Source organism: Homo sapiens, chromosome 12 (genome assembly GCF_000001405.40).
Source record: "Homo sapiens chromosome 12, GRCh38.p14 Primary Assembly".
In the NCBI taxonomy this organism is placed as follows: Eukaryota; Metazoa; Chordata; class Mammalia; order Primates; family Hominidae; genus Homo; species Homo sapiens.
This window is the reverse complement of record NC_000012.12, coordinates 102,876,310-102,903,712: the sequence shown is the minus strand read 5'-3', so window position 1 is coordinate 102,903,712 and position 27,403 is coordinate 102,876,310. Positions and strand designations below refer to the sequence as shown.

The following is a 27,403-nucleotide window of genomic DNA, read 5'->3' as shown; positions in this document are numbered from 1 at the left end:
GCTAGACACTTAGAGACAAAAACTGCTTCAGAATTTACCTTCCATTTTTACAGTAGACAGACCTTTTGGAAGCAAATGGGAAAGGCACAGTATCTATTAGTCATACCCACTTTTTTGTGCCCTACTCCTGCCTAGGGGATCCACTCCTCCCCCTCATCAGATATTCAATGATCTCATCAGATACCCAGTGATCATGACCTCATCAGATATTCAGAGATCAATGACCTCATCAGATATTCAATGATCACAGAGGTTGTGGCCTATTGATAGCATATGAGTTGTGATTATTGCTCCATACATAAGGTTGTTTTTTTTTGTTTGTTTTTTGTGTGTGTGTGTGTTTTTTTTTTTTGAGACAGAATCTCACTCTATCCCCCAGGCTACAGTGCATTGGTACGATCTCAGCCCACCTCAACCTCCACCTCCCTGGTTCAAGAGACTCTCTTGCCTCAGCTTCCTGAGTAGCTGGGATTACAGGCACCTGCCACTATGCCTGGCTAATTTTTGTATTTTTAGTTGAGACGGGGTTTCACTATGTTGGCCAGGCTGTTCTCGAACTCCTGACCTCAGGTGATCCACCTGCCTTGGCCTCCCAGGGTGCTGGGATTACAGGCGTGAGCCACCGTGCCCAGCCCACAGGGTCTTTTTGACCTAGAATATTTTACCAATTTGGTGGTATAGGAAAAGAAACACAAAGAAAAGACAGTTCTTTTCTCTAAAGGCGTGAGCTGAGCCAGATTAAGCTGCAACCCTGGCTTTCTCCTGCAAGGAGTCTCCCCTGAGTTAGGCAGCCCCAGCCACCTGGAAGGGAGGGTGGGGGAAGAAATAATCTCATGAAGTGGGAGGTGACTGAAAGAAAAAATGTCCAAAGAATCACACAGGAGACATGCCAAGAGGAAGCAAGAGTGAGATCCCAAAAGATGGTCTTTGGGGTGAGAATCCCATGGAAGGTCCAGCTTGAACCTCTCCAAGATCTCCTCCTCCAGACTAGAGTGGGGGATAATCTTGAGCTCCCTGTAGAATTTAATTGTGCTGCTCATACTTTCTTGAATATTTCTGGTTTCCTGTAAATGCCAGTGGGTTTAATTTCCATATTGTTGGTCAACTGGGGCATTGCTGGCCCTCCCAGAAGAGGAAATCAGTGAAACATGTAAGAAGTTCCATCAGTATCTCCTTGCGACTTCTCCAACCTTTGCAACTACCGTATCTCACCCCAAATACTGTTGTTGCCCCAGACAGTTCCTGTCTTGTCCCACTACAGTCTAGTCTTAAAACAGCTGCCAGAATGTGTCTTTTAAAACATGAATCAAATGATACCTCTCTTCTGCCTAATTACCTCTCATAGCTTCTTATATCACTCAGAGTGAAAACCAAACAAAGTTCAGGTAATGGCCAAAATGGCCTTCCATGATCTATTCCTGGTAACTTCTCTGCCTGGTGTCTTCACACCCCCGCTTCCTGCTCACTCTGCCCCAGTCACACCGGTCTCCTTGTTGGTCTGCCCTCACATTGTGCATTCTCTTACTCCAGGACCCTTGCACTGGCTGTTCCCTCACGTTTTTCTCCCTCACTGATTTCAGGTTCATGCTTAAAGGTTACCTGTTTATTTTTTTATGACTTCGTGGCTGCATTGTTTAAAAATAGCACCCCCATGCACAATGGTGTAGCCAGTCCCTCTTTCCTGCTTCATCTTTCTCCATGGTGCTGACCACCATCTGAAGACTGTATATTTTACTTATTTACCATAACTACTGTTTGTCTCCTCCTTTGAGAACATAAAGCTCCACAAGGGCAGAGATTTTTTTTTCTGCTTTTCCCACTGTTACACTCCAGCACCTAGAACAGTGGTTAACACAAAAATGGTGCTTAACTGAGTGAATTATTGAATGGTCCTGTCTATTTACCTAAGACCAGTGATTTAGGGCATTTTTTGTAAATGTCTTTGATGTTGTCCCCAGCAACCTCTGAAATAGGCCAGGACATAACTTCACTTAAGTTTACTCCAAGATAACAGCACATAGTGGTCCAAGAAGTTCTCCCTTGCCAGTCTATTCTCATCTCAAAAGATGCCTAGGCTTTCCTTCTTTTTGAAGTGTGCTCTCAAAAAAAAAATTAAAAAAAAGAGCTGAGAAAAATTTAGGGTAAAACAAATATTGAAGGATAAAATGACACATAAAATGTGATGTGCTCCATCTTTCAGAGAAATGGGTATCTATACCAAGTTGAGGAGGCAGAGTATAAGGAGTACCTACTGAATATATATTAATGAAGACAAAAATTATTAGGTGCAGACAAAAATTGTTGGGTGCTTTTGCTTTTTTAAACTCTCATTAAGCTGCCAGGTAAAATTATCTTTATTTTAAACACAGAATACCAACTTCAGAATGGCCAATTAATATATCCAAAGGTAGTGAGTAGCAGAACCAGAATTTGAACCCAGATAGCCCACATACTTGCAAGATACCATTATCTCTTGTCAGTGAATAAGATAGAGGAGGAGGAGGAGACGGGGCGCCCAGTATGCAGTCAAAAGAAGATCCAGAAAGACAAGCCAACTTTTCACCATTATGAACTCTGTTTCTATAGTTTTATTTACTTGTGACCAATCCCCCTTTAGAAAGGCTTTCTTAAAGGATAGGAGAAGAAAGTGGTTTCTGGTGAATCCTTAGAAAAATTGGTGATTCATTTCACCTTGCCTATATCTTCTGTTTGAATCCTGATTAGCAAGGTTTTATGCTGCCATCTTTTATGCATAAATTAAATATTAGACAAATCGTGAAATTGTTTTTGAAAAGTTCAAGCCTTTATTGCCTTCCCCGAGATGCCCACTTGGAGTAATATCAAGAGTGCTTTCTTTATCCCTCAGCAAAGATGTGGTGAGCGTATATGGGTCAATTTGTAAACCTACACAAACCTCTTGTTGAAAAGTAAAAATTCATTTGTTAAAAGTATGATCCTAATCAGGCTTGTAAATTAACTTTTGAGGCTCTCTTAGCAATCAAAATTATTGGTTTCTAAGGATCCATACTAGTAAATTAGAAAGACGCCAATAAGGAAATTACATGCCAAACTGGAGGGTTATTTTTTAACAAATTGACTCAAAGGGAAAGAAATGATTTAAACAATTCAGCTCTATGTTCAGTGTGTAATTAACCAGAAACTTCACTCATATAAGACTTTTGCCAAGTAAGTAGCAGTTACATAACTCCCACACCCCACCCCCCATTTGTCAGCCCGGGCATAATTTTTTAAACATTTTTTAATAATCCCATACCTATATCTATTATAAGTATTTACCCCAATGGTTATCATTATAACCATTTAACAGATAAAGTTAAGTTTTTATTATAAAAGTAATAAATGTGTCTGGGCACAGTGGCTCACGCCTGTAATCCCGGCACTTTGGGAGGCTGAGGCAGGCGGATCACGAAGTCAGGAGATCAAGACCATCCTGGTTAACACGGTGAAACCTCATCTCTACTAAAAATACAGAAAATTAGCCAGGCGTGGTGACAGGTGCCAGTAGTCCCAGCTACTCATGAGGCTGAGGCAGGAGAATGGCATGAACCTGGGAGGCGGAGCTTGCAGTGAGCCGAGATCACGCCACTGCACTCCAGCCTGGGCGACAGAGCAAGACTCCATCTCAAAAAAAAAAAAAAAAAAGCAATAAATGTTTCTAGGAAACTTGAACTATGATTTTAAAAAAAGAGAAAGAAGGAAACAAAATCATCCCTAAGCCCTTCATCTAGAGACCGCCACTGCACTCATGTCTTGAAGTGCTTACTGACACGTTTTTTAATACATGTTGTTGTTTTTGTTACTCACTTTTTTTTTTTTTTTTTTTTTTTTTTTTTGAGACGGAGTCTCGCTCTGTCGCCCAGGCTGGAGTGCAGTGGCGGGATCTCGGCTCACTGCAAGCTCCGCCTCCCGGGTTCACGCCATTCTCCTGCCTCAGCCTCCCAAGTAGCTGGGACTACAGGCGCCCGCCACTACGCCCGGCTAATTTTTTGTATTTTTAGTAGAGACGGGGTTTCACCGTTTTAGCTGGGATGGTCTCGATCTCCTGACCTCGTGATCCGCCCGCCTCGGCCTCCCAAAGTGCTGGGATTACAGGCGTGAGCCACCGCGCCCGGCCGTTACTCACTTTTTAATGATTGCCTAATCTTCCATTGTGTAATTATACCACAGTCCACTTCATCATTCCTCTATTATGGGAGTTTAGTTAGCTTAGAAGTTTTGGTGAAATGCTATGTGAATTTTCCCATAAGTTAAATCTCTAGCACTAGAAAAACTGAGTCATAAAACATAAATTGTTTTATTGTTATCCTCAAAGCTGTGGAAGTGGATGCTTCCAGGGGTGGGGTATGAGTGATGAGCACTGTATCCTATGGTCTGCTTCCCAGAACTTCTTCTTTGCTCCCCTCCCTTCCAAAACTCTCCCACAAATAAGCGTGCCAGAGGTGTGTCCATTCTCGGTTCTTGGATTTGCTGTGCTCTCAGCTCTACATAAGGCAGGGATTGGTTATGTCTCCTTTTGAAGTTTCATCTTAGGTAAATAGTAGGTGGAACCTACCCATTCTCTTTATTCCTGAGCCAAGAAGGATGACATTGCTCTTTGCTTTGTTTAACAAGTAATCTCTGTTTGCCAGAGAAAGCTTCAGATCTATCTATATCTCTCTGGCATTACCTCCTCACTATTCTCTCTCTCCCTAGTGGGGTCCCCTCTGTGGGTTTCCCTAGCCACAGCCCTCAGGGGTGTGTTGTCTGCAGTTGGAGCCATAAATAATGGCTGCACCGTGAGCCTGTTTGAGGTTACTTATTATATTTACTACACCCAGAGGTTTTAATTATTTGTGTTTGACATAATGGTAGTAATAATAATCAAAGTTGATATTTGTGGAGTGCTCACTGTATGTATGCCTGGCAGGAAAGGCAGTGTGGTTAAAAAACTAATGACTGAAATTAGAAAAAAAATGGGCCTCGCTCTCTAGCTACTTGCGGCCAAGCACCTTCATCTCTGATTTTATTTTTTTATGTCTCCCTTAACCTTTTCAAAGGATTGTTGGGATGGTCACAGAAAAGAATTCTATACTATAAAGTGTTACTTAAGTATGAAAAGGCATCACTACAGTTCTTTTGAACCTTATACCGTTAATGATCAAGGCAAAAGATACACCTCTTCAACTACAAGTTCAGTGAATTTTAATTTTTTGAAATTTTAGAGTTATTTAGTTATATTTTCAGATACTTTCTGTCCATTTAAATATTGGAATAACCCCTATTATGTGTTTGTTTGTTTTAATAAAGTGTATATGATACTCCTTGGTTTTCTCCAAAATAAATAGCATTACTAAGGAAATCACATACTTTCTGACTAAGTAGCAGATGATTTGCTGGGCATTTATGTTAGAGGACCAACTAAAATAAATGACTTTGTTTTTGTAATAACCATAAGAGCTAAAATATCCCATCTAAAGACACTGAAATTGAGAAGCTGTAGTAAATAATCATTATTTTCACATTTTTATGGCATTTAATGAAAGCAGCTTCCCAGCTCTTTGCACGAATGTGGGAGTGGGATGCTTCCATGCTTAGCAAGTGCTTCCAGCAGGAAAACACTGACTGATGACTGCAGGTTGAAATCTTTGTGTTGGGGGTTCAGTGTATTTTAGTAGACTTTGCCAAGTGTTGCTGCTGACCAACATTCATTTTTTAGTTCATTTCTGCTTCAGAACCAGTGTAAAGAGTCCAGGTTTTACAAGAAAACTGTGGCATAATTACAGATGAGCTCCAGTCCCCCACAGCCCATTCTTGGAAAGGGACAAGAGAGTTGTAAATAAAACTCTTGAGTCATCCAGCCTAATATTTTTTAGAGGATGCATTTGGACAAATTATACAACCCACCTTGTGCTTCTTATTTATGTCTGGTGATTTTGCACCTAGCACTCAGCAGATGCCATAGTAATCCAGAGGAGTCCAAGGAATTTGGTTCTACAATTAGGGACATTTGAGACATCAAGCAAACTCTGATACTCAGGCAGTTATTGCCTTTGAGAAAGAAGTTATTGCCTTTTTTCTGATAATGCATCACAGCTACATTCCTTAAAAACTCTAAGACTATTTATACTTGTGATGTTCCAACATTTTTTGAGAGCATTTTAAAAATTGTTTTTTCACTGAGGTGTTTAAGAATAGCCAAGAATAAATGTCAGTTTGAATTATATATATATATATATATATATATATACACACACACACACATATATATGAGAGTTAATATGAAAATATAAAAAATTATTACAAATCAGTAAAAAATCTCTATAATAAGAAAATGGTATAAACTGATAATTCATAAAAGAAATGCAAATGGCCACTAAACCTAGGAAAAATGTTTAGTGTCATCAGCAGTTAAATAAAAAATTGAACAATGAGTTATTTGCTGTTTTCATCTGTCAAGTCAAGAATATTGAAAATCCTTAAAGGTGGTACAGGTGAGAAACATGGATCCTCTAGTGGGAAGATAGAAGAGATGAGTATAGACTTTCTGGAAGGCAATGGGACAATATATAGAGAATCTTTAAAGGGTAGTTTCTGATTAAACAATTTGACCCCTAGGCATTTATTCTGAGAAATCAGTTAGACAAGTAGGCAAAACTTTATGTATATTGCTGACCGTTATTTCTAGTGGCAGAAAAACAAGAAGCAACATACCCATCACTAGGGTATTGGTTAAAGAATTTATGACCACATCTGTGCTGCGGATCATCAGGCAGCCACTAAAAATGGTCTGATGAGGGTACGAATGGCTAATGTAAAAGCAGGAAATATCTTATTCATCCTTGCATTGTCCAAGTACCTAGCCTGGCCCATGATATTTGATTTAAAGACGATATTCCTCAGGGAGATATGATGTGCTCTTTTTTTCCCGTTGGATTCCTGAAATTCTCTTTATTTAGCCACATAGACAACAGAGTAATAGTCAAATCTGAGGGTGGCATGGAATATGATGGACTTTTTCCATTTTCCTACCCACAAACTCTTCTCATATCCTTGGATAATTTTGATCCTTTTGAGGTGATTATAGAAGACGTCCTGAATGTAATATCTTCTTACCATTTCCACTCCCACCAACATAGACATAGCCACCTTCACGTCTTGTCTGCATTTCAGCAATGGCCTCTTGACAGGACTTGCTTGGTCTATCTTATCCCTTAAAGTTTATTCTCAACATAGAAATTAGACTGGTCCTTTTAAGCCTATGAGATCATATTCTTCCTCTGCTCAAAATCTTGCAAAGATCCCTATTTCTTTCAGAATCAAAACCATAATTCTTAAAATGGCCTGCAATGACCCTGTGATTATTCTGACACTGTCTCCTGTTATTTTCCCCTTGACCTCATCCACTCTCATCAACCCACCTTGTGGCTGTCTCTTCAACAGGCCAGGCATGCTGCCACCTTCCGGCCTTCACCTCTCTCAACTCCTTTAGGACTGTACATAAATCTTGCCATCCCAATGAGGCCCCATGTGCCTGCCCTATTTAGTCCTGCAATCTGCCCTCACCCTGTCTCAGGAATGCCCATTTGCTTCCCCCTGCTCTGTGTTGCATTTTTGCCTTAGTCTTTCTCATGATAACATGCACAAATGAGTTTCTGTTTGTTGTTTGTATCCCCTCAACTTGAATGTAAGCTTTATAAAGGAAAGCATCTTTATTTTGTTCACTGGTGGATCCCAAGCCGCTAGAAGGATGATTGGCCACTGTTGGGTGTTACAAATGTATATATTTATTGAATACCTTGAATGGAAAGTAATTTTATATACATATATATATATATATATATATTTTTTTTTTTTTTTTGAGACAGAGTCTCGCTCTGTCGCCCAGGCTGGAGTGCAGTGGCGCGATCTTGGCTCACTGCAACTTCCACCTCCGTGGTTCAAGCAATTCCCCTGTCTCAGCCTCCCAAGTAGCTGGGATTGGGATTACAGGCACACACCACCATGCCCAGCTAATTCTTTTGTGTTTTCAGTAGAGACAGGGTTTCACCATGTTGGCCAGACTTGTCTCCAACTCCTGACCTCAGGCAATCTGCCCACCTCGGCCCCTCAAAGTGCTGGGATTACAGGCGTGAGCCACAGCGCCAGGCCTATATAAATATATTAGTGGTAATTATATTAGATAATTTTTACTGAGCATTTACTATGTGCCAAGTGGTGCACATGTATCATATCATCCAACACTCCCAATGAACTTATGAAGCAGGTATAATTAAGACCAGCAAGTTACAGATGGAAAAACTGAGGAATGGAAACATGAAAGTACATCGTCTCACAAGCAATAAATTTAGATATTAGATATAAATCAAATAAGTCTGACCCCCTATTCAAGCAGAACAATGTTGCTTCTATATTATTTATTTATTGTAATTCCATAGAATTTCGTTTGGAAAGTGGGGGTGTTTCCTATGTAAATATTTTTGGCAGCCACTGTCCTAAATATTTTAACCAAATCAAAATCTTATAGTGGCAATTCTAGGCCTTTAGCAGATTTTCATGTGATTAAATTGTGACATGTGAACTAACTGCCCCACCTCCTGCCACTTAGTACTTGGTTTTAAAGAAGAAAAAGTAAACAACTTTTGCAAATTTAAGGACTTTTTTATACTCTTATAAAAATAATTGTATTCTTGAACTCTCCATTTTGTTGCGTTAGGTTTTCCTGTTCTGGTTCTGCATCTTTGGCCTGCGTTAGTTCCAGTGACTGTCTCCTCACCCTCCCCATTCTCTCTTCTAGGAGAATGATGTAAACCTGACCCACATTGAATCTAGACCTTCTCGTTTAAAGAAAGATGAGTATGAATTTTTCACCCATTTGGATAAACGTAGCCTGCCTGCTCTGACAAACATCATCAAGATCTTGAGGCATGACATTGGTGCCACTGTCCATGAGCTTTCACGAGATAAGAAGAAAGACACAGGTAAGAATTAGAGGAATTTTGCAACATAAGTAACTCCACACTGTCTTCATAAAATAACAGCAATATACATATTTAACAGCATATTTAAATATATGTATATTTAATATATATTGCTGTTATTTTGCGGAAGCAAAATTAATATATATGTATTGGAAATAATGCCTTGGAAGACTGTTTGGGGGATTAAATGAGTGGACATAGGTTGGGGACCTAGGCAAGTGCCTGGTATATTTTAGACATATAGTGAATTTTAGTTATTTTTCCCCTTCCTAAAGATAGCTATTTCTTTTTTCTTTTTTTTTTTTACTTTATAAGCTTTTAATTTTTATTTATTTTTATTTTTCTCTCTCTTTTTTCTTTTGACTTTTATTTTAAATTCAGGGTTATATGTACAGGTTTGTTACACGGGTAAATTGTGTGTCATGGGAATTTGGTATACAGATAATTTTGTCACCCAGGTAATCAGCATAATACCCAATAAGTAGTATCTAATTTTCAACAAAACCCATGAAAGCAAGCAATGAAGAAAGGAATTCCTAGTCAATAAATACTGCTGGGATAACTCGAAAGCCATATGCAGAAAATTGAAACTGGACCACTGCCTTTTACCATATACAAAAATCAACTCAAGATGATTGAATGGATTTTTGAATCTCTCCACTCCAACCAAAGGGATCTCTTCAAGTCCTTTTTGTAACATGCCAATTCCAGAGCTGGAGACACCTGGCTCCTTGTTACTAGGGCTTTCATTGTCATTTTCCATCTTCTTATCTGTCTCTTCTTCTCATACAATCTCCTTGTGGGCAGGTAGACTCTCTTACCTATATTTATATCCTCAGAGTTTAGCACACTGCTTGGTACACAGGTGCTCTGCACATATTTCTGAGTGAATGACTAATATAGGAGTTGTCAAAACTTGCATTGTCCCATTATTTACGTACTGAAATGCTACTCATCCTCCGGGGAGGAAAAGGGTGGTAGAGTATAGAAATTATAAGTGTGGGCTTGAAGTTGAATAGACTGTGGTTCAAGTCCTACTTCTTCCACATATTGAGTTTGATACCCTGACAAATTGCTTTAACTGCCCTGACCTCAATTTTTCATAGGGCTTTTGTGAGGATTAAATGAAGTCATACATAAACAGTGCTTAGAACAGTGCCTGGTGCACTGTAGGGCTGGACAAATGATAGCATGTGGTTGTTATTATGATTATGATTAGCCTGAAAGCAATACAGAGGAAGAAGGTGACTGCTTTTTAGGGCCTCAAGCATATTCAAATGAACCATTTTTTAATAGACTTTTTATTTTATTTTTTATTTTTATTTTTATTTTTTTAGACAGAATTTCGTTCTTGTTGCCCAGGCTGGAGTGCAATGGTGCGATCTCAGCTCACTGCAACCTCTGCCTCCTGGGTTCAGGCAATTCTCCTGCCTCAACCTCTTGAGTAGCTGGGATTACAGGCATGCCCCACCACGCCTGGCTAATTTTTGTATTTTCCATAGAGACGGGATTTCACCATGTTTGTCAAGCTGGTCTCAAACTCTCGACCTCAGGTGAACCACCCGCCTCAGCCTCCCAAAGTGTTGGGATTACAGGCATGAGCCACTGTGCCTGGCCTTAATAGACTTTTTAAAAGAGCAGTATTAGGTTTACAGAAAAACTGCACAGAAAGTACAGAGAGTTCCCAGGTCTTTCATCCCTACCTCAGTTTCTTCTATTAACATCTTGCATTTGTGTGGTATTTTTTTTTAGAACTGATGAGCCGATATTGATATATTATCACTAATTGAAGTCCATAGTTTATATTCGGGATCATGCTTTGTATTTTACAGTTTTATTGGTTTTGACAAATGCGTAATGTCATGTATCTACCATTTCAATGTCATACAGAATAGTTTCATTGCCCTAAAAAATGCCCTGTGCTCCAGCTATTCATTCCTTCTTCTTTACAGACTCCTTCCAGCAACCACTGCTCTTTTTGCTAGCTCCATAGTTTTGCTTTTTCAAGAATGTCACATAGTTGAAATCATACAGTATGTAGCCTTTTCAGACTGGCTTCCTCCATTTAGCAATACATATTTACAAATCCTCCATGTCTTTCTGTGACTTGATAGCTCATTTCTTTTTGTTCCTGAATAATATTCCATGGTCAAGATGTACCACAGTTTGTTTATTCATTCACCTATTGAAGGACATCTTGGTTGCTTCCAATTTTTGATGATTATGAATAAAGCTGTGAATAAACATTTATGTGCAGTTTTTTTGTGTGAAGATAAGTTTTCAACTGATTCAAGTAAATACCTAAGAATGTGATTGCTGAGGTTAACTTCTTTAAAAAATTATTTTTTTTCTACTGTAAAATCGAGTTTCTTTCAAAAACACTTGGAAAGACTTTGGGTCAAGAGGAGTTCAGGCACCATAGCTGAAAGAAGCATTTGAATAGGCAGAGATGCTTTAAAATGAGACAAGATCCACCCCGTAAAACAGGCCACTGAAACATTTTTTAAAAGGTAGCTCCATGGCCTTTCTAGGAGACTCATCTCTGCCTTCATTCTCCTGTAGGTATAACCAAGGCAAGGAAAGCCCACTCCAGTGTTCTGGCCTTGTGGAGAGTGGACAGCCATGCAGATGGGCTCAGGTCCCTGGAGGGCAGGCACTTGGAATTCCTCCCTGGATTAGTCCTATCCTGCCTTCTTTCCTTTTCAGCCTCCCAAGCTGCTTCCCCAATGACTGCCCTCCCTTGCTTTTTTCCGGCCACCTGCTCTCAACAGGAGCTGCAGACCCTTTGGACAAAGGGCCTGCCAGATCCTGGGGCAATTCAGCCTCTGGTTGGAGCAGGTGGAGGCTGGGCCAGCTGGGGCCATGAGGAAGGAAATCAAAGCAATTGACAGGCAGACAGCCAGCCCCTGGAGGAGCCAGGGAATATATAGTAAACCAGCTGGAGAGCCGGCAGCCTGAACTGGAGGCTCAGAAAGGAGGTTCTTAGTGGGGACATTGAGGGGGAGTTAAGAGTGCAGATTCAGGAAGCACGGCGACCACACTCGGTGTGACTTTGAGCAAATCATTGACCCTTGCAGTCTCCCACTGTATCAAAGGGGAGTCACAAGAGCCTCTGCCTTATAGGATTGGTGAAATCACACAAGTGAAGCACTGGGAACAGAGCAGAGCATGTTTAATTAAGGACTTAAAGTTATTCTCTATTCTTACCATTATCATCATTATTATTATAAACACTGGCATGAGCACAAGAGCGACCAAAATGCAGCCTGTACACAGCTACTTTTTCAGAGTCTGGCAACTGGAAAATGACCTGAGAGGTCATGCAGCCCTACAGACCCCTTCATTTTTCATTGTGAAAACAGAGGCTGTGACTTGCCTTAAGGCAAACAGTGGGTTCTGGGGGGTCATGCGCAAGGGTGTGTTGAGAGCAGCTCTGTGCCGGGCACAGTGCTAGGAAAGAAAGGGTCAATCTGCCTGTTCTTAAGGAGCTCACAGCCTGGCAAAGGGGAAGACACACCCAGGTAAGTAGAATAGAGGGACAGGTGCTGTGACAAAGACAGGGTTGGTGTGATTCCGCCTGTTCTCCACTCATGTTTAGCTCTGAGGATCCAGGAAGTAAGAAAGTAAAAAAGCTAATGTTTTCCTTTTTTTGAGATGGAGCCTCACTCTGTCGCCCAGGCTGGAGTACAGTGGCACAATCTCTGCTCACTGCAACCTCCGCCTCTCGGGTTCAAGCCATTCTCCTGCCTCAGCCTCCCCGAGTAGCTGAGATTACAGGCACATGACACCACGCCCGGCTAATTTTTATATTTTTAGTAGAGACGGGGTTTCGCCATGTTGTTCAGGCTGGTCTCACACTCCTGACCTCAGGTGATCCGCCCACCTCGGCCTCCCAAAGTGCTGAGATTACAAGTGTGAGCCACAGTGCCCGGCCTAAAAAGTTAATGTTTTCACATAGAGGCATCATGTAATAAAAGTTGGGTTTATTGGAGCCTGGAGGAAGCACAGATTCAATTCCCTAATGGGGCTTCTCGCTTTCTTGCTCAAAATGTCAAAGTTGTTGATATTTGAAGTGGGATGACATTTTCCCTAGGGAAGAAAAACTAGCTAAGACCAACCCTTTAAAATAACATGTGTTTTGTGACCCTTATTTCTTCAGATGATTGGTCACCCAATCCCATAGTGGCTGCCCCCACCTGACCTTACCATACCTGTAATGAGAGAGCTGATGTTGACATGCCACGACCTGGCATCTGCCAAGAAAGACTCTTTGGGTTTCTGTGGTAGTTTCCGTGAAGTGGGGTCTGGGCCAAGAAACAGGTTTTTCTTAAGGGGAACAACCATTCCTTTGCAAAGTTGCCCTTTCTATAGGACTCAGTGGGAGAACAGTCAGAGGAAGAAAAGCATTGTAGTAGATCTGAACCTTTGATTCTTTCTCCGGACAAAATGCCCTTTTTATTGTGGGGCTCAGATCTCAGAGGCGAGTCTGACAGCAGGTTCAAGTAGGAGATCTGAACCCCTCAAATCAATTAAGCTAAACTACTTTCCACTCTAGTTTTTAAACCATTCAAAAAGCCATGTGGGTGATAGAAAATAAAAGTTTTTCAGTTTCTTAATTGCGAAAGTTCCCCACCCAAAACAGCTTAAGAGAAGGTTAATTACAGCGACATGGTAAAGAAACCCCAACCTTCTCAAATGCCTCCTGGAGAAGCTGATGTGAATTTAATAGGATTTTAATCCAGAGAGTCTTTTGAATACTTGAGGTCTATTCTCCTGCTACCCTCTTTCCTGATGACTTCAAATCCTTCTTCAACCCAACATGAAAGAGCATTAATATCTTTCATCGATCAATCTACTAATCCTTTTACCTTTCCCTTTGAGTCGACTGCATGACATTACATTTAGTGGGGGCTAGAAAATTCCTACGTGGAGAGAGATTGCAGCCAGGAGAAGCAGACAGACACAATGTCTTGGGTAGACAGAAGTTAGGAACATCACCATTTGAGAAATATGTTTGCAGTTATTTTCCAAGAGCAGATAAATATCTGTTGGGTTTTGTTTAATCTATGGTGATTATAAGGGTCCTGGTGGGGAAGAAAAGTGAGTTCAAATTGCCAGAACAACTACTGGTTCTGTGGAAAGCAGAAAGACCTATCTGCCTGTCTATCTATCTATCTATCTATCTGTCTATCTATCTATCCGTCTATCTATCCATCATCTATCATCTACACCTGTCTATCTATCATCTATCTACCTATCTATCTGTCCATCAATCATCTATCATCTATCTATCTATCTATCTATCTATCTATCTATCTATCTATCTATCTATGTTGTCTGGGAACACTTATGATTACTGTGAGAAGACAAAAGCAACATCATTATAGTCATTCCTTCCCTCTTGTTGCCCCTCCTTGCCTTCTTGAGTTTCTTCTGCTTCAACATTGCTGACCTGAAGAACTGTGCTGAGTAAAGCTGACATTTCAGATCAATTGGGGTTGAAGGGAGGATAGGATTCCTTAGAGGGCTCTGAAAAGCCCCTGGGATTGTGGGCAAGATAATACATGGGTGTGCATGCATAATTTTTAGGAGACAAGATTTTTCAAAGGGGCTATGGTTCCCAAAGAGTTAAGAATTTTTAGAGAGAAGCCGCTTAGGGCTGGAAGGGAATCCATCTGGTTAGAGTTTTTCCCCACTCCCACCACCTGCACTTTTCTTTCCTCTCTCCTTTCCTCTGCTTGGCTTTTCTGTCTCCACCTTCCCATTGCCCTCTTCTCAGTTCTAAACCTTCTCCCGTGCATTTCACTTTGTGCATTCCATGTGTGCCTTTCACAGCTGTAGATGTATGTGGCTCTGTGTCTGCAGGAGACCAAGTATCTGCATGTTTGCAAAAACACACAGGATTGGCTGTCTTTTTCAGTCTTTACCTGGATGCTTGCTGGATGCACTGATGTAGCACTAAGTCCTGGCAGCTGGGGAGGTCACTCGTTTCAGCAAACTGCCTCACTGAGACAAGCAGACTCCAGCTGAGAGGATCAGCCCATTCAGGGGGAGGTGACACCAACCCAGGAGTGGGAAGCAGAGTCCCTTCATATCCTTGGTAGACTGTCTGCTCCCTGCAGTCAGTCACAGGCAACTCTATTCATTGGCAAAGGAAGATCCTGAGCAAATGCTATTTCTGCAGCCCATCTAGTTTGCCAGGTCACAGAGCTTCAAGCTCAGGAAGATTACAAAATTATAAGGAGGCTCTCATTCTAAGAGGAATCCCTCAGTGATATGCCACACCCAGTGTTTTCCAAATTCTTTCGCATTAGGTTATCTCATTTAAGCTTTGCAACAACCAACTCAGGCAGCTAAAGCAAACATAGTATTATTCTTGTTTTCAATATTAGAAAACAAGTCAGAAAGGTATAATTAAAAGGTTGCATGGATTTTCCAGTTCAATTCCTGGGCTGTAGCTGTTCGGCCAAGTTGCTTTCCCTCTTTAGGCCTCAATTTTCTCATCTGCAAATGAAGAAATCCAGGTACCAGTGTGGTTGTGTGGATTATATGATATAATTTGCATAAAGTGCCTAGCGTGTAGGGCCCATGCAAAAGGTTACAAGTAAACTTACCCTTAAGTCTCTCATAAGGGTACACAATGAATCTTAGGGTTGAGCAAGTCCAAACTCCCAAAACTCCTGAAGTTTGATAAACAAAGGCAACCGTGAAATGCCATTTGGGTCAGTCCAAAAGATTGTGAAAGGTAGAAAAATTTAGACTGGGAATACATTTTCTCTGTGTGACAGGTGTGTTCTCTCAATTGAAGAAGGAAGTAAAAGGACATGGAATGACTAACTAAATATCACTTTGCCATCATGCTGGATTGAGGGAGTATTGTCGTGATGCACTAAGGGCCATGAATTTAGAGTCAAGAGCCAGGATTTGGGTCTCCATTTTGTACACTACTAGCTAGGTTTGAATTCCATCTGACACCCTTCCAGATGGATGACCGCTTCTCCTTCATCTGTGAAATGGAGCAAAGACCCACTCTCCCAATTCCTGTGGCTCATGGAGGGGATTATGTGGAGTACCCTGTGCATAAGGGTGCTTGAAAGATCAAATTGGACTTGCTTGAGTTGAATAGGCCCTTGATCTTAGACATCCTTAAGTTTCAATAGGGAGAGCTCTCTATGATCTATAACCCCAGCCAATAACAGGTCACTTGTCACCACCAGCTCCGTGGACATAGACACTTAGCAGGCCAATAATAATATATAAAGAGTTGGTGGCAGCCACCACCTCATTGAAGCCAGGCTTACCTAGCAGCCACGGAGACAACTTCATGTGTGGGATTGTATGAGGGTCCCTGTGAATGATCTCTCATTTCCAAATATTTTTTGTGCTTAACATCATCCACTTGACTTTGTGCTAGATTGCACATGGCACTGGCATATGAGATAGAAGGTCAGCTTTTCATGCAGCTTTTCTTTCTCCTTCCCTTCTTTCTTCCTCGTTCCTTCCCTACTTCCACCATCCTCTTTCCTCCTTGCTTCCTTCTTTCTTCTTTCCCTTTTTTCTTCTCATCTTCCTTTCTCTTGTACCATTCTGACAATACTCAAAACCAATAGCCTCTCTTTTTTTCATCCTCTTCGACATTTTTGTAGCATTTGATACAAATATCCCCCAGGAATTCTCTCTTTCCTTAGCATGTTATGAATTATGTGGCCCTTACTTTTTAAAAACCTTGACTGTTGGGATTTTCTTCCTTCTCTTACTACTCCTTCTCAAACAGCACAGAGTCAGCGTTGCCAACTTCCTCTCTCATTCACATCTATCTCCTAATTCAGTTGATCATTTATGCTACCGATATTGATTGAGTGCCCACTCGGTGTCAGCCACATGATAGGATGCAATAGTGAAAAAGACAGACATGGTGCCTAGACCCATGCATTTTGTAATCTAGTAGGTTGTGGCTACATGGCATAATACATGGCAATGATAGAGAAGATGGCATGCCTCAGTAGTCTTAGGAGGTGCACCAAGGCACTGAGCCCAGGCGTGGGGTCAGTTGATGAGAAGAAGGGGAGCAGGGCCAAATAAGTGCTCCTGGAGTGACATAACCAATACATGGAGGAGGCTTTAGATGTCTTCTGTTTGACCCAATGTTGCTTGACCATAACTAGGGTTGTCAGTGACAGGTAACCAGATCTCAATGCAATGGTGAGCTCTCAGAAGACAGAATTAGATATTTGGGGATATGGGGGCCAACCTGCCAATGGATAATGTTTATGAGATACATAGTATCTTAAAAAGGATATTGGGAGGGTAGTTGTAATTTAGGTGGGTGGTTGGAATAAATAGCCCTACAGGTTATTTTATTTATTCATAATTCCACTCATATCTATTCACTCACTCCCTCCGCTTATTAAGCACAGTTTCACTCTTTACTTCATGTGTGAGATCCCTTTTATTCATCTGGTTTGGGGATTCTTATTTTTCCATGTGAACAGAGAGAACAGATGCTTTGTCCTAAAATCACCACTCCTGACTTCTGACCACTGCTGTCTCCAGGAGGCAGAGGGTAATAGCTGGGCATCATCAGCCAGCCTTTGGCTCATCATTCTTGCCAAGAGCTTCCTGAAGAGCATTCCTTCTCCAGAAAGAAAGTAGAAGCTACTTAAAAGAGAAGAATAAAACCCTCAAAAGTCTTCCTCCTGCAGGATGTTGGCATGCCATCTCTTCTTCCTTTGTGGGAGCTGTGGAGATCAGCACACAGGGACTGCTTCTCTGGGGGGCTGGAGGCCATTGCCTAAGAGGAGACATCCGGGAGCCTGGGAGGAGGTGGTGAAAACAGCCTTCTATTTCAGACCCAAGAAACCAGGATTTATTGCTCTCTCTGAGACAGGCTGGAGGCAAGCCTGGGTGCCTTGCTGGCTAACCCCTGGGGCTGGTGAACATCGGGTGGAGGGAGGGGCTAAGATTGGACTCAGCCTGCACCTTGAACTGCTGTAAATTGAATGGGCCTCCTCTGACCCACTGGCCAGGAAGCAGGCTCTGGCCAGGCCTGGGGGGTCTTTTGCTCAGTGGTGCTCCTGAGCCAGCCACCCCTTGGCGTCCCGGCTGAGCAGTTGACCCCGACTTAATGGGACCACTACGTGGGTGTCCAGGGCCAGCTCTCCAGCGGGCTGCTTCCTTTGGAGCCAAATCAATATTTATTAATGATCTGCCCCCACCGGGTGCCTCCGCTCCACAGAGGGCCTCTGTTGCCCCAGCCTGCCCAAGTCATTCATTAACCGCGGAGCCCAGCCGCCCGCCGGAGAGGCTGTTAAGGGGCTCACAGAGGCCAGCCCACCGGCCGAGGTATTTGGCAAGGCCATTAATGAGCTAATCTGATTTAACTTTTCAAAACGGAGGCCTGGGTCGCTGGGGTCAGTCTCTATTTCCAGCTTTGTGAGAGAGACCGGGTAGGGGGAAGGGACCTGCAGCCTTCACTAAAGAAAATAAGGGGTATGTGAAGAGAACTTAGGTTAAAAAGTGACTATCCCTAAATCCAGGGATGCTCAGGATGGGGCAGACTCAAGGCTGTCCTAGGGATCTTCTTCAAGCACCTTTAGAGCCTTAGTTTGTCACGCTTCCTTTCCTTCTCAAGGTGGGAGAAAAGGAATCTAAAATTTAAAAGCACCCCTTCACCACCACCACACCTTTATTCTAAGCCCAGCATTGCTTTTTGGTGAAGTGCATCGGCTGCAAAATTGTTCTTTCGGCTCAGCTAGCTCAGTGATCTTGAGCAAATCACTTTGTCTCTTTGAGCCTATTTGCTCATCAGTGAACAGCAATAATGTCTACCACCTGGGACTGTTTTGCGAATTAAAGGAGATGATGAAAGTAAAGCACTTAGCACAGTATCTGGTGCATAATAAGCGCTCAAGAAAATGTAACTTTAGAGGAAAAAGGGTAGTCCTACCTTTTTGCCTGGGAAAAATCAGAAGAGCCCAGGTGCAGAGGTTAGAGACATAAGCATGGACTGGCTTGGCCTCTAGTGGCCTCTGGGACCACTATCTTAGTCAGACAAGCAACTCTGGAGTTTATTATGAGGCTCAGGTGCAAGGACTGATGCCACAGATGCACCTGTTTTGGGTCAGTTTCTTCCCACCCCAAAGAAGGAGGCAGGCAAGTGCTCAGCACCTTGCCCATTTCACAGATGCAAAGCCAGAGACGCAGGAATTAAGTAGTTTGCTCAGACTTCCATGTTGTGTGGGTGGGAAAGATGAGACTTGAACTCAGACCTGCTGGCTTCAAACCCAGGATGTGCACACCCTTTGCACAATGTAAAGAGTCAGCACATGTGTCAAGGCTCGGCACTGAGTTTGTCTGGGGTCCTCTGTGGTCTCTCCTGAGGTCCTCACATTGCCTGCTTCACAACTCTGCAAGCTGGGAAGTGAGCCACATCAGGGATCGACCCCCAGTCCCCAACACCCAGCACCCAGGTGCCTCTCCCTGGTCTTGTTCCTCAGGCTTTGTCCCTGCTCTCCAACATGACAGCTGGTGAATTTCTCTTAATGGTTAGGTCTGACCTGGGTCCTCATCCTACCCTAGAAGACAAATAGGCTGCACCCAAGGGCATTAACTTTATGTAAGGGAATAGATCAAATGTGGAGCTGGGCTGCTGCCTGGAGGAAGTGAGCACCAGAGCTTCTCACCCTTTCTCACTTGTCCTTCTATAATGATAATACCACTATCAGATACTTAGAAGCACTTGTGTGCCAGACACCATTCTAAGAACTCTTCATACATGAGTTCATTTTAATCCTCCCATCAACCCTCTGAAGGACGTACTATTAGTATAGCTATTTTGTAAATGGGAAACTAGGGAACAGAGGGCTTAAGTAATTTGCACAAAGTTCCAAAGTAGAGATTGGAGCTAGGTGGTCTGGCTCCAAAGTGTGTATGATGAGTCCCCAGGCTTTGCCACTTCTCTGGCCTGGCTGTGTTTTGGACCTTTTCTTGAAGATGATGGGGTCCTGAAGCCACCAAAGGCCCCTGGACTCAGGTGAGCACCCTGCAGCCTCGCAGTGCTACCTCGGGGTCCCTCACAGCCTCTGCGACAAGGTGCAGAGCTCAGAGGTCTGGGATGTGGTGAGCTGTTTTGATCTTTGTCTTCTTTTTACAAAGACTTGAATCCTCTGAGTCTTGGCAACTTTCTCAAGTTCTTCAAATTTTTTGTTTTCGTTTTGTTTTATTTTGTCTTGTTTCTCCTACCAAGAGGGCTGAATGAAGCCAGGTGGCCCGATAAGAATTTTCCTCTGGAGAAGGAAAAAGTCACCCAGAGCTAGAAATATGCTGGTTCTGCTGCCCTCTGGCGTTCGCTGAGCGCCAGCCAGCCTGCACAGCCCTGAGTCAAGGTGGTGCACCCTGACTGAGGTCTGTGGGGAAGAATGTTGTTTCTCTGGTGGGAGGAGAAAGGAAAATGAGGCTGTGCATTTGGGAGCTGAACAAATGTAGTGACTGTACTTCTGAAAAATAAATGAGGTTGACACATTGATTGAAGTGGAGCTGACTTTTCAAGTATCATCTGGCCAGCCTCAGCCCTTCAGAGGATCCCACAGGTCTCTGAATATGAAACTCAAAAGGGTTTGCTGCGCCGATAAATCTAATACCCACATGTTACAGAAACTAAAGCCCAAGATTAGAAACCTCTTAATACCCAAGCTGGACAGAGAACCAGCTTCCTGATCCCAATCTCTGTTCTTTCCTCCTCCCTCCTCCTCTTCTTCCTCCTCCTCCTCCTTTAATCATCATCATTAAAATCTTTGTCATATTAATGGTTAACATTGATAAAACACATATTATGGGCCACTGTGCTAAGATGTGTCATATTGCTGCAGCATTTAATTCATCCAATAATACGGAAAGAGCATTTTAATTCATTTTGTGAATAAGGAAACTAAGGCTCCAGGAGATAAGACACTTGCCAGTTACACAACGAAATAAGTGGTAGAGACTTTCTAGGCTTGCTGGAAAACTTTCCACTCTGCTCTCTGCTATGATAAGCTAAGGATACAGTAGAAAAAAATTTTATATATATATATATATATATATATATATATATAGTGTATATATATGCATATATATACAGATATATATAGTATGTGTGTATACGTGTATGTGTATATATACATACACACATATGTAACTCACAGCTGAGCAGTAATACTGTCTACTATGTGCCAGTATTGTTTTCCATAAATCACGCATATTAACTCATTTAACATCATGTTGTTCTTATAAAGCAATACTTTCTAGTACTACTATTATCACCATTTCAAAGATAGGAAGAGTGAGGCACAAAGAGATGTAATAACTTTTCCTGGGCTCATAGATAGTAAATGCAGAGATAAGATTCAAACCTGGGCTGTCTGGCTGTTTTAAGACTCTTAACCATTGCTGGACTGACTATTCATGACACAAATAGGAAACCAACTCTGGACTAGGGCCAGATCCTGAGTATCCCAGATTTCATTGAGCCATGCCAAGGCAATTTCAAGTCACCAGGGTCTTCCCTCTGGGGTCTAGAGGCAGAGGATTTCATAGTAAATAGCATGTTGTCTTTAACATCAAAAGGACAAGAGGTAAGAGTTGGCAAGGATGCGGAGAAGAGAGAACCCTTGTACTCTGCTGGTGGGGATGTCAGTTGGCACAGCCATTATGGAAAACAGCATGAAAGTTTCTCAAACAATTAAAATATAGCTACCATACTTTCCAGAAATCTCATGTCTGAGTATATACTCAAAGGAAATGAAATCAGTATGTCAAAGAGATATCTGCACCCCCTGTTCATTGCAGTATTATTCACAACAGCCAAGGGAAACAACCTACATATCTATCAACAGGTGGATGAATGAAGAAAATGCGATACCCTCCTGACACACACACAATGGAATATTATTCAGCCATGAAAAAAGAAATATTGTCATTTGGGAGAACATGGGTGAACCCTAAGAGCATTATGCCAAGTGAAATAAGCCAGACACAGAAAGACAAATACTGCTTGATCTCACTTATATCCAATTCAAAATGTGTTGAATTTATAGAAGCAGAGAGTAGAATGGTGGTTGCCAGGGGGTAGGGTGATGAGAGAAATTGGGAGATGGTCAAGGGTACAAAGTTTCAGTCATAAGATGAGCAAGTACTGGGGGGTCAAATGTACTGCATGGTGACTATTGTTAATCACACTTTACTGTGTACTTGAAATTTGCTCAGAGAGATCTCAAGTGTCCTTGTCCCACTCCATACCCGCACAGGAAAAATGACTACATGAGATGATGAATATGTTCATTAACTTGATCATGGTAACCATGATGTATGCATTTATTAAATAATTACATTGTATTTATAATTTTATAATATAAATATATATGTGTTATATAAAATATATGCAATAGGTCAGGTGCAGTGACTTACACCTGTAATCCCAGAACTTTGGGAGGCCGAGGTGGGCAGATCATGAGGTCAGGAGTTCGAGACCAGCCTGGCCAACATGGCGAAATCCTGTCTCTACTAAAAGTACAAAAATTAGCCGAGTGTGGTGGCACGCACCTGTATTCCCAGCTACTTGGGAGGCTGAGGCAGGAAAATTGCTTGAACCCGGGAGGCGTAGGTTGCAGTGAGCCGAGACAACAACACTGCACTCCAGCCTGGGTGATAGAGCAAGACTCTGTCTCAAATAAATAAATTAAATTAATAAATAATAAAATATATGCAATATATACAAATATAATTATGTAAATATAAATTATACAATTTTATGCAATTGTAATTTTATATTATAAATATATATGCATTTTTTATTGTTCAATTATACCCCAATAAAGATGGAATTTTTTAAAAAGAATTTAAAAAAGAGCATCCCCATCACTTTCCATTTCCTTATGCTTCTTTATTCTTCTTCTTCAAGAATTTCCTGACATTGTCATGTATTTACATTTATTTATTGCTTATCTCGTGTTGTCCCTGCCAGAATGTAAGCACCACTAGGATGGTGACTCCCTTGTATGCACCCCACAATGCTTTGTGCTTGGTACGCAGGAGGTGCTCAGTACATATTTGTGGAATCTCCTTTGGTCATTCTAAATGTCCCCTAAGTAAGAAGGGGTTGCAGCAAGAAAGGACTTGTTCTGCCTTATTTCTGGGGGCAGCAGTTACTGCCAGAATTATGAACGATTCCCAGGCAAAAGAGAGATGATGAATGAGTGGAGGCAGGCTACCTCCGCAGTGTGGGGATGAGATTATCCATGGTCCTGAACATAGAGGAAAGAGTCAGGCCCCCTTGTCCAGGTGGGTGCCATTCATTGAAACCCCTTGGTGGCAATGTCCTGGAGAAGCAAGAAAGATCTTTTAGAAGATGCTGAGCCCTGGGTGACTCTAAAGTGCTGATTCCTTTCTCAAGCCCATGCAAACCTGGGTGGGAAACAACTCCCATTCTTGGCACTGACAACAGAGGTTCAGTGTACAACGCAAATGCTGGACCCACTGAGGAAGGAGAGCTTGGGGAGGAGTGTAGGTGACAAGGCGGGAAGCCACGTTCCTCACCAAATGAACAGAGCATGGTATTGAGTCATCCGAGACTCCAAAGTTTCAGCAGTTGGGACCAAGGAGGTCTATCAAGAGACTTGCCCTCATTGTTCCTCAGTTTCTTCATCTGTAAAACGGGATAATAATAATACCTACCTCAAAGGACTGTTGCAGAAATTGAAGGGGGTAGCATATGTGAAATGTTTAGGGCAGTGTCCAACACACAGCAAGTACGACAGAAGTGTTACCTGGAGTGATGGCTGCAGCATCTGCCTCTGTTCTTGCTGTCCATAGGGAGCCAATCTGGAAAAGAGGGCTGTGCTTTAGGGGCATGGAAACTTCTGGGCAGGAAATCTGGCTTCACAGTCAGCCCTCCTTATCAGTATGCTCTGCCACCTTCCCATGATTGGCAAGATGCATTGACGATCAAGACCAGAGGCCAGAGAGTCAGCTGGACCTGCATTTGAATCCTGACTCCACTGTTTCTTAGCAGTGTGTGTTTGAGTTTGCACTAAACCTCTCTGTACCTCAGTGTCCTCGTCTTTAAAATGGGAACATTAATAGTACCCCCCCCCCACAGGTAAAATATTTAGAACACCATTCAGTGTTAGTTTTATTGCTAACATGGGTGGTAGAGAGCCTAGGTTCCTCAGCTCTGCAGAAACAAGGGTCTAAATGGACCTTTATGAACTGCTGGAATCAGCTCTCCTTGTTTTGCTGGAATGCAGCTGCTGCTCCTCCTGAGGCTCCTGTTTAGATCACGGAGGGAATTTCCCCAGATTGGCCACTAGATAGCACACATGCTCTTTCCTGCCCCATCTAAGCAGGTCAGAATCATGAATCATGGGTGTCAGATTGAAAGTCACGTTTTATGTACCAGACGCTGAGCGGCGCCCTTTGCTTGTTTCTCATCACTGCCCACAGCAATCCTCAGATTCAAGTAGCTACTCCACCAGAAATGCTCCACCAGAAGTGCCTGGCACGTAGGAAGGCTTCAAAAACACGTTTGCTGTTCTTCCTATAGTTGTGTATCCCAGTTGTTTATTCCTCCTCCTCCCGGAGGAGGAACTGAGACACAGAGAGGATAAGTAGGCAGATGGAACCCGGATTCTAAGCCAGACCGCATGCTGATTGGAAGTTCAGCATCTTCCCCTCGACCTCATTTCAGGGGAAGTTCTGGAAGCCTTGCACTCACTTCAGGGTTCCCACCACGTCTATTTTGGCTCTCTGGATTCTTTTTGAATCTACCACTTTCTTACTCCTGGTGTGATCTCAAATCAGCTATTTAAGCTTTTAGAGCCCCAGTTTCTTACCCGCGCAAGAGGGGTTATCATGCCTTCCTTATTTTGAAGGTACGTCAGAAATAGCAACTGTACCAAAGCAGGCACTCTGGATGGTGGTTACTGCTGTCAATACCTTAAATGTTAACACAACCAGGGTGAATCCATTACTTCCCTTCTTTCTTCCCTCCTTTTCTTTCTTCCTTCCTTCCTTATCTTGTTTTCTCCCTCCTTTCTTTCCTTTTCTTCCCTCCCTCTCTTCCCTCTTCCTTCCCTCCTTCTTTTTCTCTTTATGCCCGGTACAACAAAGTACCCATGGTTTCTGCCCTCATGAAACTTACGGTCCAAAATGCCCTTGTCTCTGTTCATTCCTGGGAAAATTTCACCTGCAATGTATCTTGTTTCCTGTAACCCACAGGGATGTCGGTGCTGCCACCTGCCCTTCTCCCTGGGCCCCTCTCTCTGCAAGACCCAGGTGTTGTAGTCCACCCCACTCAAGCCCAACCCCTTCCCCACTACACTGGCTCAGAAGCAAGTCTGAAATCCTTTAGGTGCTGCAAGGCATCTTCAGATCCCAACTATCTGACTCTGTTCACTCTGCTTCAACAACGGCTTTCTAACTGGCTTTGCGATCGAAAGATTTTGCTGCAGTGCCTGGGGCCTTTGGGAGGGAAACACATAATGGGAAGATGGGTTCTCATGAGCTCATTTACAGTAGAACAGTCTGGTTTTATATAATTTATATTTTGGGCCTATATGTAATATTCTGCTGCTAATGGCCGGACGCAGTGGCTCATGCCTGTAATCCCAGCACTTTGGGAGGCCAAGGGGGTGGGTCACCTGAGGTCAAAAGTTTGAGACCAGCCTGGTCAACATGGTAGAACTCTGCCTCTACCTAAACTACAAAAATTGGGCAGGCATGATGGCGTGCACCTGTAATCCCAGCTACTCGGGAGGCTGAGGCAGGAGAGTCACTTGAACCCAGGAGGCAGAGGTTTCAGTGAGCCAAGATCACATGCAACTGTACTCCAGCCTGGGTGACAGAAGGGAAAAAAATTCTGCTGCTAAAGAAAACCATCAAAGAAAACTACCATGACGGGTGGGAGGGAGATGAGTTTTGAGATAATTCAGAGAACATCTCCAGGAAAGAGAATGTATTTGGGAATGGGTTTTAAAACCGGTTTCTAAGGAAAATGGAGTTTAACTTTTGAACGATAGTAATTTGGGGGTTATCTGGAAGCCAGCCCACTTGCCATCACCATTGGCTGGGATCCCCACTTCTGATCTCAGCAAGGCCTTTGGCCATGTTCTGCCAATCTGTACTCAGGACGTTGCCTTCTCTGTGTTTCAGTGCCCTGGTTCCCAAGAACCATTCAAGAGCTGGACAGATTTGCCAATCAGATTCTCAGCTATGGAGCGGAACTGGATGCTGACCACCCTGTGAGTCCATGGCCCGTAGGATGAGATTTTTTCAGTGCCTCTCCTCCACTCCCCTCCCTTCCTCTTACCTTCTCTACTTGGAGCAATGTACTTGTTCACTTGTTCAACAAACACTTATTGTGTTCCTATTTACACGAGGGCTGGGAAAAATTAGCAAGACTTTATTGTCATCATCATTATCATGGTCATTATTTTTGTAGGAGCAAATATAAATCACTGTCCAGAAACTATTGTCTCTATATACTAGGTCTGTGTATGCACAAACACACACACAGATGCAAATCATCATTGTTTCTGCCTGTGTACATCTATGGAGGTTTAAGTCAAGTGCTTGGTAAACAGCAACCTGTACTAACAACTCTGCCAACTGCAGGGGGCAGCGGGGAGTGGCGACGTTGAAACTGAATCTTAAAAACTGAGTAGGAGATGCGGGTCAGATAAGGAACGGAGAGGGCTTATGGCTGAAAGAACAGTGTATGAGAATACCGAGAGTCTTGGAAGCATCCACAATACTGTGGGAATGACTGGTTGGTGCATTAAGTATGAGAATGAGAGATGTGGCTGGGGCAGTGGGTTGGGATCAGATTGTAAAAGGGCTAATGGACCAGAAAGAGGAACACGGACTGGGCCTGTGTCTTGCAGCCATGGGGGCAGGTCCTTTAATGGTTTTTGAGTAGAGGGCCGGGGTGGGGGATATTTCATCGTTCCCTCTACTCTGGGGCAGAGGGTCTGGGGAGGAACAGCCCAGGCTGCGGTGGCTCAGGGCCAGGTCTCACAGCCTCCATCGGTGGGAAGGGCCACCGTCCTGTTGCCTGCCCTTTATTCTCTGCCAGGCAAATGACTCCTTCATCTTTAAATGACTTGCAGCCATTTACATCGGTGAAGGTTGAGCAGAACGCAGAGGAAGCATTTACACTTCCACAGGAGTCTGTTTTCTCCTCACATTTATGTGGGTCTTTATAATCAGCAAAGAATGTTCGCAAAGGCGCTTTTCAGGAGGCAAAGCAGATGCTTCCATCTTACAGAACTAGTGAGGCCCGAGGAGCCTGATGACTTTTCTAAGGCCCGGTGCTAAACTGTGAGTCCTGAGAGCTCATGGTGCCTGAAGACAAAGGCCTAGCTAGTGGCAGAAATCCAGGCTCTTTTACAGAG

The 27,403-nt window shown here is 42.8% G+C and overlaps 1 protein-coding gene and 1 long non-coding RNA gene across 4 annotated transcripts in view; one reads left to right on the top strand and one right to left on the bottom strand.

The window, feature by feature from the left end:
- PAH (phenylalanine hydroxylase) overlaps positions 1–27,403 on the top strand; it is a 121,553-nt gene that overhangs the window by 54,729 nt on the left and 39,421 nt on the right. For all 3 annotated transcript variants that reach the window (NM_001354304.2, NM_000277.3, XM_017019370.2), the window contains 2 exons: positions 8,795–8,978; positions 26,163–26,251. In NM_001354304.2, the coding sequence (NP_001341233.1) occupies positions 8,795–8,978; positions 26,163–26,251 (273 nt within the window). The remainder of the gene's footprint in view (positions 1–8,794; positions 8,979–26,162; positions 26,252–27,403) is intronic.
- The window catches only part of LOC124902999 (uncharacterized), a 40,575-nt gene that overhangs the window by 1,283 nt on the left and 11,889 nt on the right, over positions 1–27,403 (bottom strand). Inside the window, exon 2 of the long non-coding RNA XR_007063428.1 lies at positions 23,780–23,834. This is a non-coding gene — a long non-coding RNA (uncharacterized LOC124902999). The remainder of the gene's footprint in view (positions 1–23,779; positions 23,835–27,403) is intronic.